The 12,861-nt window shown below is 44.9% G+C and overlaps 1 annotated feature.

Annotated features, from left to right (window-relative positions):
* Positions 6,333–6,838: a transcriptional cis regulatory region, noted in NCBI's record as "candidate enhancer chr9.764 targeted for multiplex CRISPR interference". NCBI's record gives its function as "positively regulates FXN gene expression with high confidence in K562 cells {active_cell/tissue: K562}" and the evidence as "EXISTENCE:mutant phenotype evidence [ECO:0000015][PMID:30612741]".

The following is a 12,861-nucleotide window of genomic DNA, read 5'->3' on the forward strand; positions in this document are numbered from 1 at the left end:
TGGGAGGCTGAGATGGGAGGATTTCTTGAGCCTGGGAGGTCAAGGCTTCAGTGAGCCAAGATCACGCCGCTGCACTCAACAATATGGATAAATCCAAAAGGCATTATGCAAGTGAGAGAAGCCAACTCTAAAGGAGACTTACTGTATGAATCCATTTCTATGACATTCCAGAAAAGGCAAAACTATAGTGTGAGAGAACAGATCAGTGATTGCCAGGGCTTGGGGTTAGGGGACGGTTGGACTATGAAGGGACAGCCTGAGGGAATGTGGGAAGTGGTGGGACATGTTTGTATCCTGATTGTGCTGGTGGTTACAATGTATTGGGTGGTGGTCTACATTTGTTTTAAAACTCATAGAACTGGCCGGGCGCAGTGGCTAAAGCCTGTAATCCCAACACTTTGGGAGGCCGAGGCGGGCGGATCACAAGGTCAGGAGTTCGAAACCAGCCTGACCACCATAGTGAAACCCCGTCTCTACTAAAAATACAAAAAAATTAGCCAGGCGTGGTGGCGCATGCCTGTAATCCCAGCTACTCGGGAGGCTGAGGCAGGAGAATTGCTTGAACCTGGGAGGCAGAGGTTGCAGTGAGCAGAGATCGTGCCACTGCACACCAGCCTGGGCAATAAGAGTGAAACTCCATCTCAAAAACAAACAAACAAACAAACAAACACCTCAAAGAACTGTATACTTCCCCCCAAAATTCAGTTTTACTGCATGTAATGTTTTATTTTAACACATACATATGATTTCCTTTCTTCTGTTTGCTTTGGGTTTAATTGCTCTTATTTCCTAAGGTGGGAACTAAGGTCACTGATTTGAAATCTTTCTTCTATTACAATCACTTAGTGCTATAAATTTCCTCCTAAGTATTATTTTTTGCAGCATCCCACAAATTTTGGTATGTTGTATTTTCCTTTTCATCCAGCTCAAAATATTTTCTAAGCTCCCTTTTCATCTTCTTTGACAGATAAGCTATTTAAAAGTATATTATTTCGTTTCCAAATACTTGGGGATTTTTCAAGAATTTTCCTATTGATTTCTGATTTAATTCCATTGTTAGAAAACATACTCTGTGTGACCTAAAATGTTTTACACTTCTTGGGGCTCATTTTATGGCCCAGAATATGATCTATCTTGGTAGATGGCCCATATGCACTTGAGAAGAATGTATATTCTGGTGTATTCTGCTGTTTGAGGATACAGTGTTCTACAAATGTCACTTAGGTCAAGTTGGCTAGTAGTAGTGTTCAGGTCTTCTATATTCTTATTGACTTTCTGTTTACTTATTCTATCAATTATTAAAAACATGCCACAGGAGTTTATGAGAAGTCAAAGTACATAGATGATGGGCCTTCCATCACTCCCCCAGGCCACCATGTCAGCCGCCCCACACACCCTCCAGAAGACTGCCAGCACTCAGCCATCACAGGGTGGGTTCTGAGCTGCTCTCCCCAGTCAATTCTGTACAAAGATTCTGTCCTACATCATAAACACTGAGCTACAGGAATACCCATTTATCCTCCTATTTTCTCTCCATCTTGCCCTTTAAGTTTGACAGCTAATTCTGCCTACCCACCCTGGCTACACCGCCTGTAGCTAGTGCAAGTAAACAACACACTTTCACCTAGCCCTGCAGGCTGAAACCAAGCAAATTGGAGAGGAATCCCTGATTACTTGACTCCAAGTAGAAGGTTTCTATTGTGACTGTGAATTCTTGCCGCTCAGTTCAGCAGATGTTGGTCAAGCAGGTGTCTATTGTGTGCAAGGCCTGGTTCCGAGTTTACGGTTTAATCTGGGGCCAGTACTTGGGTACTGACTGTATATTCAGAGACGGTCAGGTTAGAGAGGAAGAAGAGGAAAGGAGAAAAATCTACTGTTGATCATCTGAACTTCCACAAAAGGGAAACCCACATTCCCTCAAGAACATAGCAGGGGGGTCAATTGCCCCTTGTGCTTTGGGTCAAGGCAAATCCCTGGCAGATGGAAATTCCACGTCTCCCCCATAATCTCAGTGATTTCCTCTTCATTTTCATCACAGTAGATCTGCTAAAATTCTGCCCATTTCTGACTTACCTCCAGATTATTCAGTAGAAATTTATACACAAAGAGCAATTAGTGGGAAGCCATTCTCTTGGACCGACGCCTTGGAAGTGGGACAGTTTGTTTAGAAGCAGGCTGTGCCATTCCATGACAAATTCTTGTGGCATTAATCTCTGAAGTTCAATTAGGAAGACACAGGGGTCTAGAGGGAACATATGCTGCACACTAGAAATGTCCCCATGCTTCGTTTACAGGTCAGAACATCAAGTATTTATCCCAGAACAAGCTGCAGAATAATTACATTTGTTATTTCTCTCCACTTTCCGTTCTGCTTTTCTCCATGGCCTTGGGGAGCAAGGGAGTCCTTAGCATGCCAAGGAAACAGGAATCCTTTTGCATTCAGATAAACCCTTTCAGAAGGAAAAGATTTGTGTAGCAAGATACAATACCTCTGCATGATCTGCTTGGAGCTTGCCTAGGGGGCCAAATGAAGAGGTGAAAGCCAACTCTGCTTTCCTGTATGCCCAATGAAAGGCAATCAAGACCATTCTTCTCCCAAAAAACTGCTCACTGGCAGTCATGCCAGCTGATTCTCCTCTTTACTGTTTATATAGCAGTTTCCAAATGGCTAATTGCATAAGGCTTGGATCATTCAATTCTAACTTCCTCTCTATCTCCAAAATATTGATGGGAGCAAAGAAAAGAACAAACTCCACCAGGATTCAAATAAGAAATAAACTACAAATCTCTATCACTCAGGGAATTATTTACATAACACTGCATGTTCTGGTCCAGAAATACTTATCATACCTGGATTTTGACAAGCCAGCTTCTATTAATAGTTTGTTTTCTCCTTATTAGCAGAATATTGTAAAAGAACATTTTTGAACACAAAGTTTCTATGTCAGATTTATGATCTATAAAATGCTGATTTAAAAATTGGCGTGGCCTTTGTTATATGAAAGATGAAAAATTATGGGAGTCAGGAAGTTCAGAAATAACTTAATGACAATAATTTATAAAGTACTACATTTATTTAAAGTTTGGGCAATCATTCATCCCTTGGTACCACTAATTTTGCCACAATTTTTTTTTTCTTTTTTTTTGAGACCGAGTTTTGCTCTTGTTGCCCGGGCTAGAATGCAATGGCACGATCTCGGCTCACCGCAACCTCCACCTCCCGGGTTCAAGCAATTCTCCTGCCTCAGCCTCCCGAGTAGCTGGGATTACAGGCATGTGCCACCATGCCCAGCTAATTTTGTATTTTTAGTAGAGACGGGGTTTCTCCATGTTGGCCAGGCTGGTCTCGAACTCGCGGCCTCAGGTGATCTGCCTGCCTCGGCCTCCCAAAGTGCTAGGATTACAGGCGTGAGCCACCGTGCCCGGCCACCATAATATTTATAGAAGTGGCTTGACACACATGATAATGAGCATTGTAATGTTTTTGGGACCTGAAAAGAAAGTAGTCCTAGAAATAGGCCCAACTTGCTTACCTAAAAATATATCTTCTGACATATAAGAACTGCCAAAAGTGATTACCCCTAGGGAATAGCACTAGGAACTTAGAGAAGCATAAATTAAAGGAAGGAAAATTTTTACTTCTCACTTTATAAGCTTCTGAATTGCTAAAATTAATTTTGAGCATGAATTACTTTACTTATTAAAATAAAAATGAGGTAAAACATTGGTTTCTCACAAATGCATTTACTTATATTTTATATGTCACTTTTATATACTGTTTAAATCCACAAAAGGGAGACAATTTTTATAAAATTATTTTCCCCATATTTTGTAGTTCTCCTTCGTTTCCTGGCAATAGCACTCTGTTTTATCTTTGAGGGATTACTTCTACCTCATTTCATCTGATTCTGTTGGGTTCCCAATCTAACCCACTCACCTGAGTCAAAGTCAGGGATGGCCACAGGACCCAAGATAGATCGATCAGTTTATGTCTCTCAGGAATTGAATCTTGAGCAGAGACACAGGGGGATTTGAGGCATTTGTAAAGGAGCCATCCAAATACAGCATCTTAGAAGGCTGTCCATGTTTCTACAGCTGTTGGCCAATAAGTTCCTTGCCTTCTGTCCTGAGCCCTGGTTTTTCAGTTCTTCCTTTATGTGTCTTTCCACATAAAGGAAGCAAAGCTTTTTTTTTAAGCAAAGCAAATGGGACAAGGCGGGGGTGGGGAAGAGAAAGAAAGAAACAAATTTATTGAAGACAATAATGAATTCAGGATTGAACACATTGAGTTCATAGGTCCTTAAGACATTCAGGTAGAGATGTCTAATTAGCCAATGGAAATCTGGGATTGAACTTAGTAGACAGATAAGCACTGGCAGCACAGATTTAAGTGGTATGAGAGTGTTAGCCAAGGAACGTGAGCCGAGAGAGAACAGAGTCAAGGAGGGGGATTGTGGGAAACTCCACTATCTGAGGATGGGGGTAGGAATGTCAGGCACTGCTATTTGCCCACCATGGCTGTGTCTTGTGAGGCCTGCCGTACTCAGTCCTTCTGAGACCTTGAAGAGAATTTCTTGTGCACACCTACACAAGAAGTGGGCATTGTCACATGGTTGCAATGTGACTGCACATGTATAATGCCTAGTAATTATCATGCAACATACAGACAGTACAGCCGAGTGGCTGAATGGGAAACTGTACCCAGGACAAGATGTTAGATACAGATAATATGGACTGCGACAGGAGCTTCGGCACTCATGTAAAGTATAATGGCATATGAGTTTCTTGGTGACCTCTTCTGCTATCACTGTAACAGCCTACATTTCATGATGAAGAGTTGAGGCCCTCAAGAGAAACAGAACAGGAGAGCGCTTGATGATTTCCTCTGAAATCTCATCTGCAGCACTTAACATGTGTGATACAGCACACCTGCCAATTAACAGAAGGCCCTAGGTGGAGCAGAACATTCACAACATCCTTCTGCCAAAATATGCCCTATAATCAGAGCTCACAAACCGATGCACATCAAAAGCAGTGGTTCTTAATTTTAACTGCACATTGAAATCACCTGAGACATTAAAAAAAAAAGAATACTGGGTTGGGCATGGTGGCTCACGCCTGTATTCCCAACACTTTGGGAGGCCGAGGCAGGGAGCTCACTTGAGGTCAGGAGTTCGAGACCAGCCTGGCCAAAATGGTGAAACCCCGTCTCTACTAAAAATACAAAAGTTAGCCGGGTGTGGCGGCAGGCACCTGTAATCCCAGCTACTTAGGAGACTGAGGCAGGAGAATCACTTGAACCCGGGAGCCGGAGGTTGCAGTGAGCCAAAATTGCGCCACTGCACTCCAGCCTGGGTGACAGAGCAAGACTCTGTCTAAAAAAAAAAAAAAAAAAAAAAAAAAAAATACTGATGACTGAATCTGCCTCCAGAGATTGACTTAACTGCCCAGGCATGTGACTTGAACGTTGGGACTTTTAAAAGCTCCCCAGGTGATTCTAATGCACAGCCGAGTTTTAGAACCATTGGATGAGCCCATGAACACATTTTGTTTAACCCAATATAGTTATAGGCCTAACAGAGTATTTCAAATTTTAATAATTGTTTTCTCAATGTAAAGAGTCGTCAGTTTCATATACCCCAGATCATCCAGATTTCAGTCTCCTGTTGTAATATTTGTGCACAGTAGGCCTACGTTTCCACAGGACACCATTCAGCTATGCTGAGTTGCTACTGCACCTATGTAAGCATTTTCTCTGCACTTCACAGCCCTTCCTGCCCCACCCAACTATCACCACTGCACAGAGCTAATGACAGTTGCTGCTTATCATCCTGTTGGCTCTGTGGGTTTTTTTTTTTTTTTTTACATTAGCGTTAAAAGTAAAATAGTGCTTATGCCATGTCTCCAGCAGAGCAAGAAAGAAAAAGGCAGCCCAGGAAGGCTAAGTGTTCCATAGGGCACTCATTTCTGGCACCTGCCTGGCCCCTGCAGCATTTGGGTGCATGCCCTTGATTTAAATCGATTAATGTTTTCCCAGAAGGAGCCCCAAAATGCTTTATAGCCTATAGAACAAAGAGCTGAGAAGTGAGAGGTCCCAATTCAATTATCTTAATAATTAGAGAGCTCTTGAAGACAAAAGAAAGCTATACAAATACAGCAAGGAAAAGGGGGTATCCAGTGACCAGTTCCATAATTCAGGAAATGCAGGAGATTTGAAGAGTTTGTATGCATTATAAGGGACAAAGAGGGCTGGAGCTGAACCTGAACTGTGAGGGATGGAAGTGCCTAACCTGGAGTTAAAAAAGAATAAGAAGATTGCAACCCTAGGGGTAAACTGCAGACCTTTCAGAACTGCAGAACCCCAGGAGCTAGGGCCCAATGCATCCAAGCTTGAGTCTGTTTGAGAATCTCCCTTTTTCAGCCTCTCCAACACTGTACTAGATGAGGACATCTGGCCTCTGGGTCTGTACATACTGTCCCCTCTGCTATGCTCTTTCCTCCTTGCCCTCTTTCACCTGGCCAACTCTTCATCTCTCTGATCTCAGAAACTCATGCTGTCACCACCCCCACCAAGTCAAGACCAGGCCACTCTCATATGCTCCTGTAGTATCCTATAATTACCCCATCTAGCACTTATGTGACTTTGTAAATACTTTTACGTTATCATCTCTCTCCGCAAGACTGTGAGCTCCATGAGAACATGTTGATTATCAATCTTTGTTACCACTATATCATCAGCAACCACAGTGCCTGGAACTGTGGACGCTCAACAAACAATGATGGATGGATGCCGGGCGCGGTGGTGGCTCATGCCTGTAATTCCAGCACTTTGGGAGGCTGAGGCGGGCAGATCATGAGGTCAAGAGATCGAGACCATCCTGGCCAACATGGTGAAACCCCATCTCTACTAAAAATACAAAAATTAGCCGGGCGTGGTGGTGCACGTCTGTAGTCCCAGCTACTGCGGAGGCTAAGGCAGGAGAATTGCTTGAATCCAGGAGGTGGAGGTTGCAGTGAGCCAAGATCGCGCCACTGCACTCCAGCCTGGAAACAGAGCAAGACTCCGTCTCACAACAACAACAACAACAACAAAAACAATGATGGATGGGTTTGTAAACCAAAACTAAAATTCAAAGCCCCCCAACTGACTAAATGGACCCCCCTCTTAGCCAAGGGGAGTCCAAAGAAACCTGCAAAACTAGTTCAGGCCACTCCAGGAAGGGGTAGGGGTCAGACATGCCTCATTATACCCTCTCCCTTTTGTAGTTTGTAACCGCCCAATGGGATCACCTTGCCCAATGCCTAGACAGAGCCGATTTATCAAGACAGGGGAATCGCAATAGAGAAAGAGTAATTCACACAGAGCCAGATGTATGGGAGACTAGAGTTTTATTAGTACTCAAATCAGTCTCCCTAAGAATCGGGGATCAGAGTATTTAAGGATAATTTGGTGGGCACAGGCCAGTGAGTCGGGAGTGCTGATTGGTCAGGTCAGAGATGAAATCAGGGAATCAAAGGTGTCCTCTTGTGCGGAGTCAGTTCCTGCTGGGGGGTACACAAGATCAGATGAGCCAGTTGATTGGTCTGGGTGGTGCCAGCTGATCCACTGAGTGCAGGGTCTGCAAAATATCTCAAGCCCTGATCTTAGATTTTACAATAGTGATGTTATCCCCAGGAGCAATTTGGGGAGGTTCAGAATCTGGCCGCCTTCAGTTGCATGACTCCTAAACCATAATTTCTAATCTTGTGGCTAATGTGTTGGTTCTGTAAAGGCAGTCTAGTCCCCAGGCAGGAAGGGGGTTTGTTTTGGGAAAGGGCTGTTATCGTCCTTGTTTCAAAGTTAAACTATAAACTAAGTTCCTCCCAAAGTTAGTTCCAGAATATGTTTCCTTGCTATATTTTGAAATGGCCCTGCAAAGCTTTCTTTTGTGGGGGAGAATTTACATCTGTAAAAAAATCTTTTTTTTTTTTTTTTGAGACAGAGTCTCACTTTGTCGCCCAGGTTGGAGTGCAGTGGCGCAATCTCGGCTCACTGCAACCTCTGCCTCCCAGGTTCAAGCGCTTCTCCTGCCTCAGCCTCCCGAGTAGGTGGGACTACAGGTGCATGCCACCACGCCCGGCTAATTTTTTTTTCTTTTTTGTATTTTTAGTAGAGGCGGGTTTTCACCCTGTTAGCCAGGATGGTCTTGATCTCCTGACCTTGTGATCCACCTTCCTCGGCCTCCCAAAGTGCTGGGATTACAGGCATGAGCCACTGTGCCCGGCCCAAAAATCTCTTTTAACATAAGTGGATCTTTCCTTTTCCAGGCCCTCCAAATCCCTGAAGAGATTAACTGAGAGTCTAATACCTACCTTTTAAAGGTCTGCATAGGAAATATTTGCATCTATAATCTCTAAGCTACCTATGAGACTTGATCTATACAATAAGAACCTTGGTCTCCACAACCCCTTATCTTAACCCAGACACTCCTTTCTATTGCTTCCAGGTCTTCAGATAATAACTTAACTCTCAACCAATTGCCAATCAGGAAATTGTTGAATCCACCTATGACCTGCAAGCACTCTGCCCTTCAAGTTGTCACACCTTTCTGGACCAAACCAATGTACACCTCACATGTATACATGTATTGATTGATGTCTTAATGTCTCCCTAAAACATATAAAACCAAGCTGTGGCCAGGCGTAGTGGCTCACGCCTGTAATCCCAGCACTTTGGGAGGCTGAGGTGGGTGGATCACAGGTTCAGGAGATCGAGACCATCCTGGCTAACACGGTGAAACCCCGTTTCTACGAAAAATACAAAAACAAAACAAAACAAAAAAAACTTAGCCAGGCGTGGTGGCGGTCCACTCCCAGCTACTTAGGAGGCTGAGGCAGGAGAATGGCGTGAACCCGGGAGGCAGAGCTTGCAGTGAGCCAGTGAGCCGAGATGGCGCCACTGCACTCCAGCCTGGGCAACAGAGCGAGACTCTGTCTCAAAAAAAAAAAAACAAGCTGTAACCCAACCATCTTGGGCACATATTCTCAGGACCTTTTGAGACTGTGCCTTCGGGCCATGTTCACTCATATTTGCCTCAGAATAAAACTCTTTAAATATTTTATAGAGTTTGGCTTTTTTCCTTGACAGGTTGATGAGTAAGTGGGTGGAAGAACAGAGTGGGTGAACAGAGCAAACATGATAAATGGAAGAAAGGACCTGAGGTTAAGGAACTGGAGATTGTAATCAGAAAGCAGGATCCTATAGTTGAAGATATCTGAGAAAGAACAATTTAAAATGGCAATAAAGTCCAAAGTACAGATACGAATATCAGCTGGGGTCCAGCCTCACAAACAAAACCTAGGTCCGGCAATTCACAGAGATAATCTAATGCAGGGAATTTGTTGCAAAGGTGATGGAAGGACTGAAAGAGCTACCAGGGAGAATTAGACAAACTCAAAATTAAGAAATGCAGAAAAGTTGCATTTACCATAACTACGCATAGAGGAACAGAAGGAAAAAGGTGTTAACACAGCCCCGGAGCTGAGACTGAAACCACAGTGGTCTGTCCAGCAAGAGGCGGAGCCATGGAGGAAACCCAATCACTGCTGGAAATGGTGCCTGAAGGGAATGGCGGGAGGAGAAAAGGAGGGCAGAAATACCTGCCTCCTCTCTGCCACCCACCTGCCAGTCTCCCACAGGCGCCTCTCGTTGGCTGAACCTCTCTTGAAACAAATTGGCAAAGCAGTTTAGGAAACGTAATTTGCATGGATCAGGTTTCCTTGAAAGAAACAGATGAGGAGAAGAGAATGGATGTAACAGCAAATAGGCAAACAAGCAACCCAAGATGAGAATGGCTTGCTGAAGCTTTATGAGAAGTGAAAAGTGGATTCCAGGAACTGTGAAATGGTGAAATGGCATATGCCATCCCTGTGGATACTGTAATCACTATTTGATGCCCCAGAGGGGAAAGGGAGAAAGGACTGTGGCCAGAGCCAAGGAACTCAATGAATGTCAATGTTTAGGAATGACTGAAGGACAAGAGATGAAATGAAAGGAAAAGGGTGTTAGTGTTATGTCCCAAGCCTGGTCTGGAAAGAGCAAGGGAGAGGTAGAATAGCAGCACAGTTAAAAGGCCCAAGTTTGAGTCCCAGCTTGGACACTTATTAGCTGGAGGATTTGGAAAGGTGAATTAGCCTCTGAGCCTTGGTGTATAAAATGGAGATAATAATAGTACCCTCAGTAAGGCTATTAGAGTTAAACAAGAGTGTATATAAAGCACTTCCCACAGTGCCTAACAACAGCAATCATAGCAGAGCACATTCAATCTACATTCTCAACTCTAGGGCATGAGAAAAAGGCTTTCTCCAAGGTTCTCGCTCAGGGTTCCTCGTGAGGTTGTAGTCAGCTGTCAGTCAGAGCTGCAGTCATCTGAGGCAAGAGGACCCACTTCCAGCTCACTCATGTGGTTGCTGGCAAGCCTCACGTCCTTGCTGGCTTTGGGCTGTGTACTGGAGGTCCTCACCAGGGGCCTCTCCATAGATTCTGACAGCATGGCAACCAGCTCCCACATAGCAAGTGATCTGAGAGAGAGAGAGAGAGAGCCGCAGTCATCTATAACCTGATCTTAGACAGGAGAGACTATCAGCTGGGTCATCTACTACTGGTCACACAGACCAACCCTGGTACACTGTGGGAGGGACTACACAAGGGATGGAATCCCAAGAGGTGAGGGACCTTTTGGAAGCTGGCTACTACACCTCTTCTCCCTCTTCCTTGTTTTTTCTCCATACCGCTGATGACCAGCTAACACATTGTTTTTTGAGACACGGCCTCACTCTGTTGTCCAGGCTGGAGTAGCAGTGGCACCATCACAGTTCATCATAGCCTTGACCTCCCAGGCTCAAGTGATCCTCCCACCTCAGCCTCCTGAGTAGCTGGGACTACAGGCACATGCCACTAAGCCTGGCTAATTTTTTATTTTTTATAGAGATATATGTTGCCCAGGCTGGTCTTGAACTCCTGAGCTCAAGTGATCCTTCTGCCTCAGCCTCCCAAAGTGCTGAGATTGCAGGTGTGAGGCACCCGGCTTCTAACACATTGTTTACCTTATTTTGTTATCATCAGTGTCCCTACAATAGAACATAAGAAGCAAGGGATGTTTGCCTGTCTTGTTCACTGCTGTATAATCGGCACCTAGAACAGTGCCTGACACACAGTAGGGCTTCATTAATATTTGTTAAATGGTGAGTGATGTGCCACCATAAGAAATTAGCCTGGGCCAGGTGTGATGTCTCACGCCTGTAATCCTAACACTTTAGGAGGCTGAGGTGGGTGGATCACCTGAGGTCAGGAGTTCGAGACCAGCCTGGCTAATATGGTGAAACCCTGTCTCTACTAAAAATACAAAAAATTAGCTGGGTGTGGTAGCGGGCACCCATAGTCTCAGCTACTCGGGAGGCTGAGGCAGGAGACTCGCTTGAACCCGGGAGATGGAGGTTGCCATGAGCTGAGATCGCACCATTGCACTCCAGCCTGGGCAACAAGAGTGAAACTTCATCTCAAAAAAAAAAAAAAAATTAGCCTGAGTTCTCTCAGAATATCATAGCATAAGTCCTGTTCCCACTTTCTAAAAACGTTTGTACTTGATTCTCACAATCTAGGAGGAAAACATGGCAGTGTTTGTATCCCCATTTCATCCATGAGGAAACTAAAATCCAGGGAAGTTCAGGTCTTCTTGCCCAGGGTCGACCAATGGTATGGTGGGTCTAGGACAGGTGGCCCTTTCTTTTGCATACAGCCTCCCCCTGATGCCCCATAACTCCCACCTCATCCCACCGGGTGCCCTGCTGCCTGGTGCAGCATTTAGCATTACTGGCAAGTCACAATCATCACAGATGAGCGAAGTTCATAGAGCTTTCATTCAGCGAAGCCAGGCAGGATGGGATGAAAGAGGGGAGCCAAGAAGCCTGGAGAGAAGACACCATGTGAATGCTCTGGCCTGATTCTCCTTTCCCTGCAACCAGTGACTCTCCACTATGCAACAGTGTCAGGCTCAGAGACTCAAGCCCAGTCTGCCTGTTAGTGTTCTATAATAAGCAGGGAATGGGTCAGGCATGGTGGCTCACACCTGTAATCCTATCACTTTGGGAGGCTGAGGTGGGTGGATCTCCTGAGGTCCGGAGTTCGAGACCAGGCTGGCGAACATGGCAAAACCCTGTCTCTTCTAAAAATTCAAAAATCAGCCAGGCGTGGTGGCGTGCACCTGTAATCCCAGCTACTCAGGAGGCTGAGGCAAGAGAATTGCTTGAACCTAGGGGGCGGAGGTTGCAGTGAGCCAAGATCGCACCACTTCACTCCAGCCTAGGTGAAACAGCAAAACTCCAACTCAAAAAAAAAAAAAAAAGCAGGGAATGGAGAGCAAGCAATTATCCCCCACAGATGGGAGACGGCTGTGCCCCCGCCTTAGACTGAATCACTCTGAAACCCCAAAATAACCCTTTCCAGAGTCCCAGGCCCCCAGACATAGACGTTCTCTGTTGGACAATGCAGTCCCACAGACGGATCTAGGCTGTTCTTAAAGTGGTTTTCCAAGTAAAGGCACTTGTCTCCCCGTGAGGCGAGGGCCATCAAAGCTCCTTTTCCCTCAACGCCTACCAAGCCACAACCTATTTTAACAACACACACATAAATTAGCTCAGTTCATCAACAAGATCACCTCTGAATAGTAGATGTAGAAGGTTGAAGGATAGCAACAAAGATGCTAGTTATACTTTCACGTGGAATTCCTGACCCTATATTCTGGTACCATATTGCCTAAGGCAAGAGACAAGGCAAGACGGGTTCCTCCAGCAAGGGGCACATCAGGTCCCTGAGCACTGGAA

This window comes from Homo sapiens, chromosome 9, assembly GCF_000001405.40.
Source record: "Homo sapiens chromosome 9, GRCh38.p14 Primary Assembly".
NCBI lineage: Eukaryota > Metazoa > Chordata > Mammalia > Primates > Hominidae > Homo > Homo sapiens.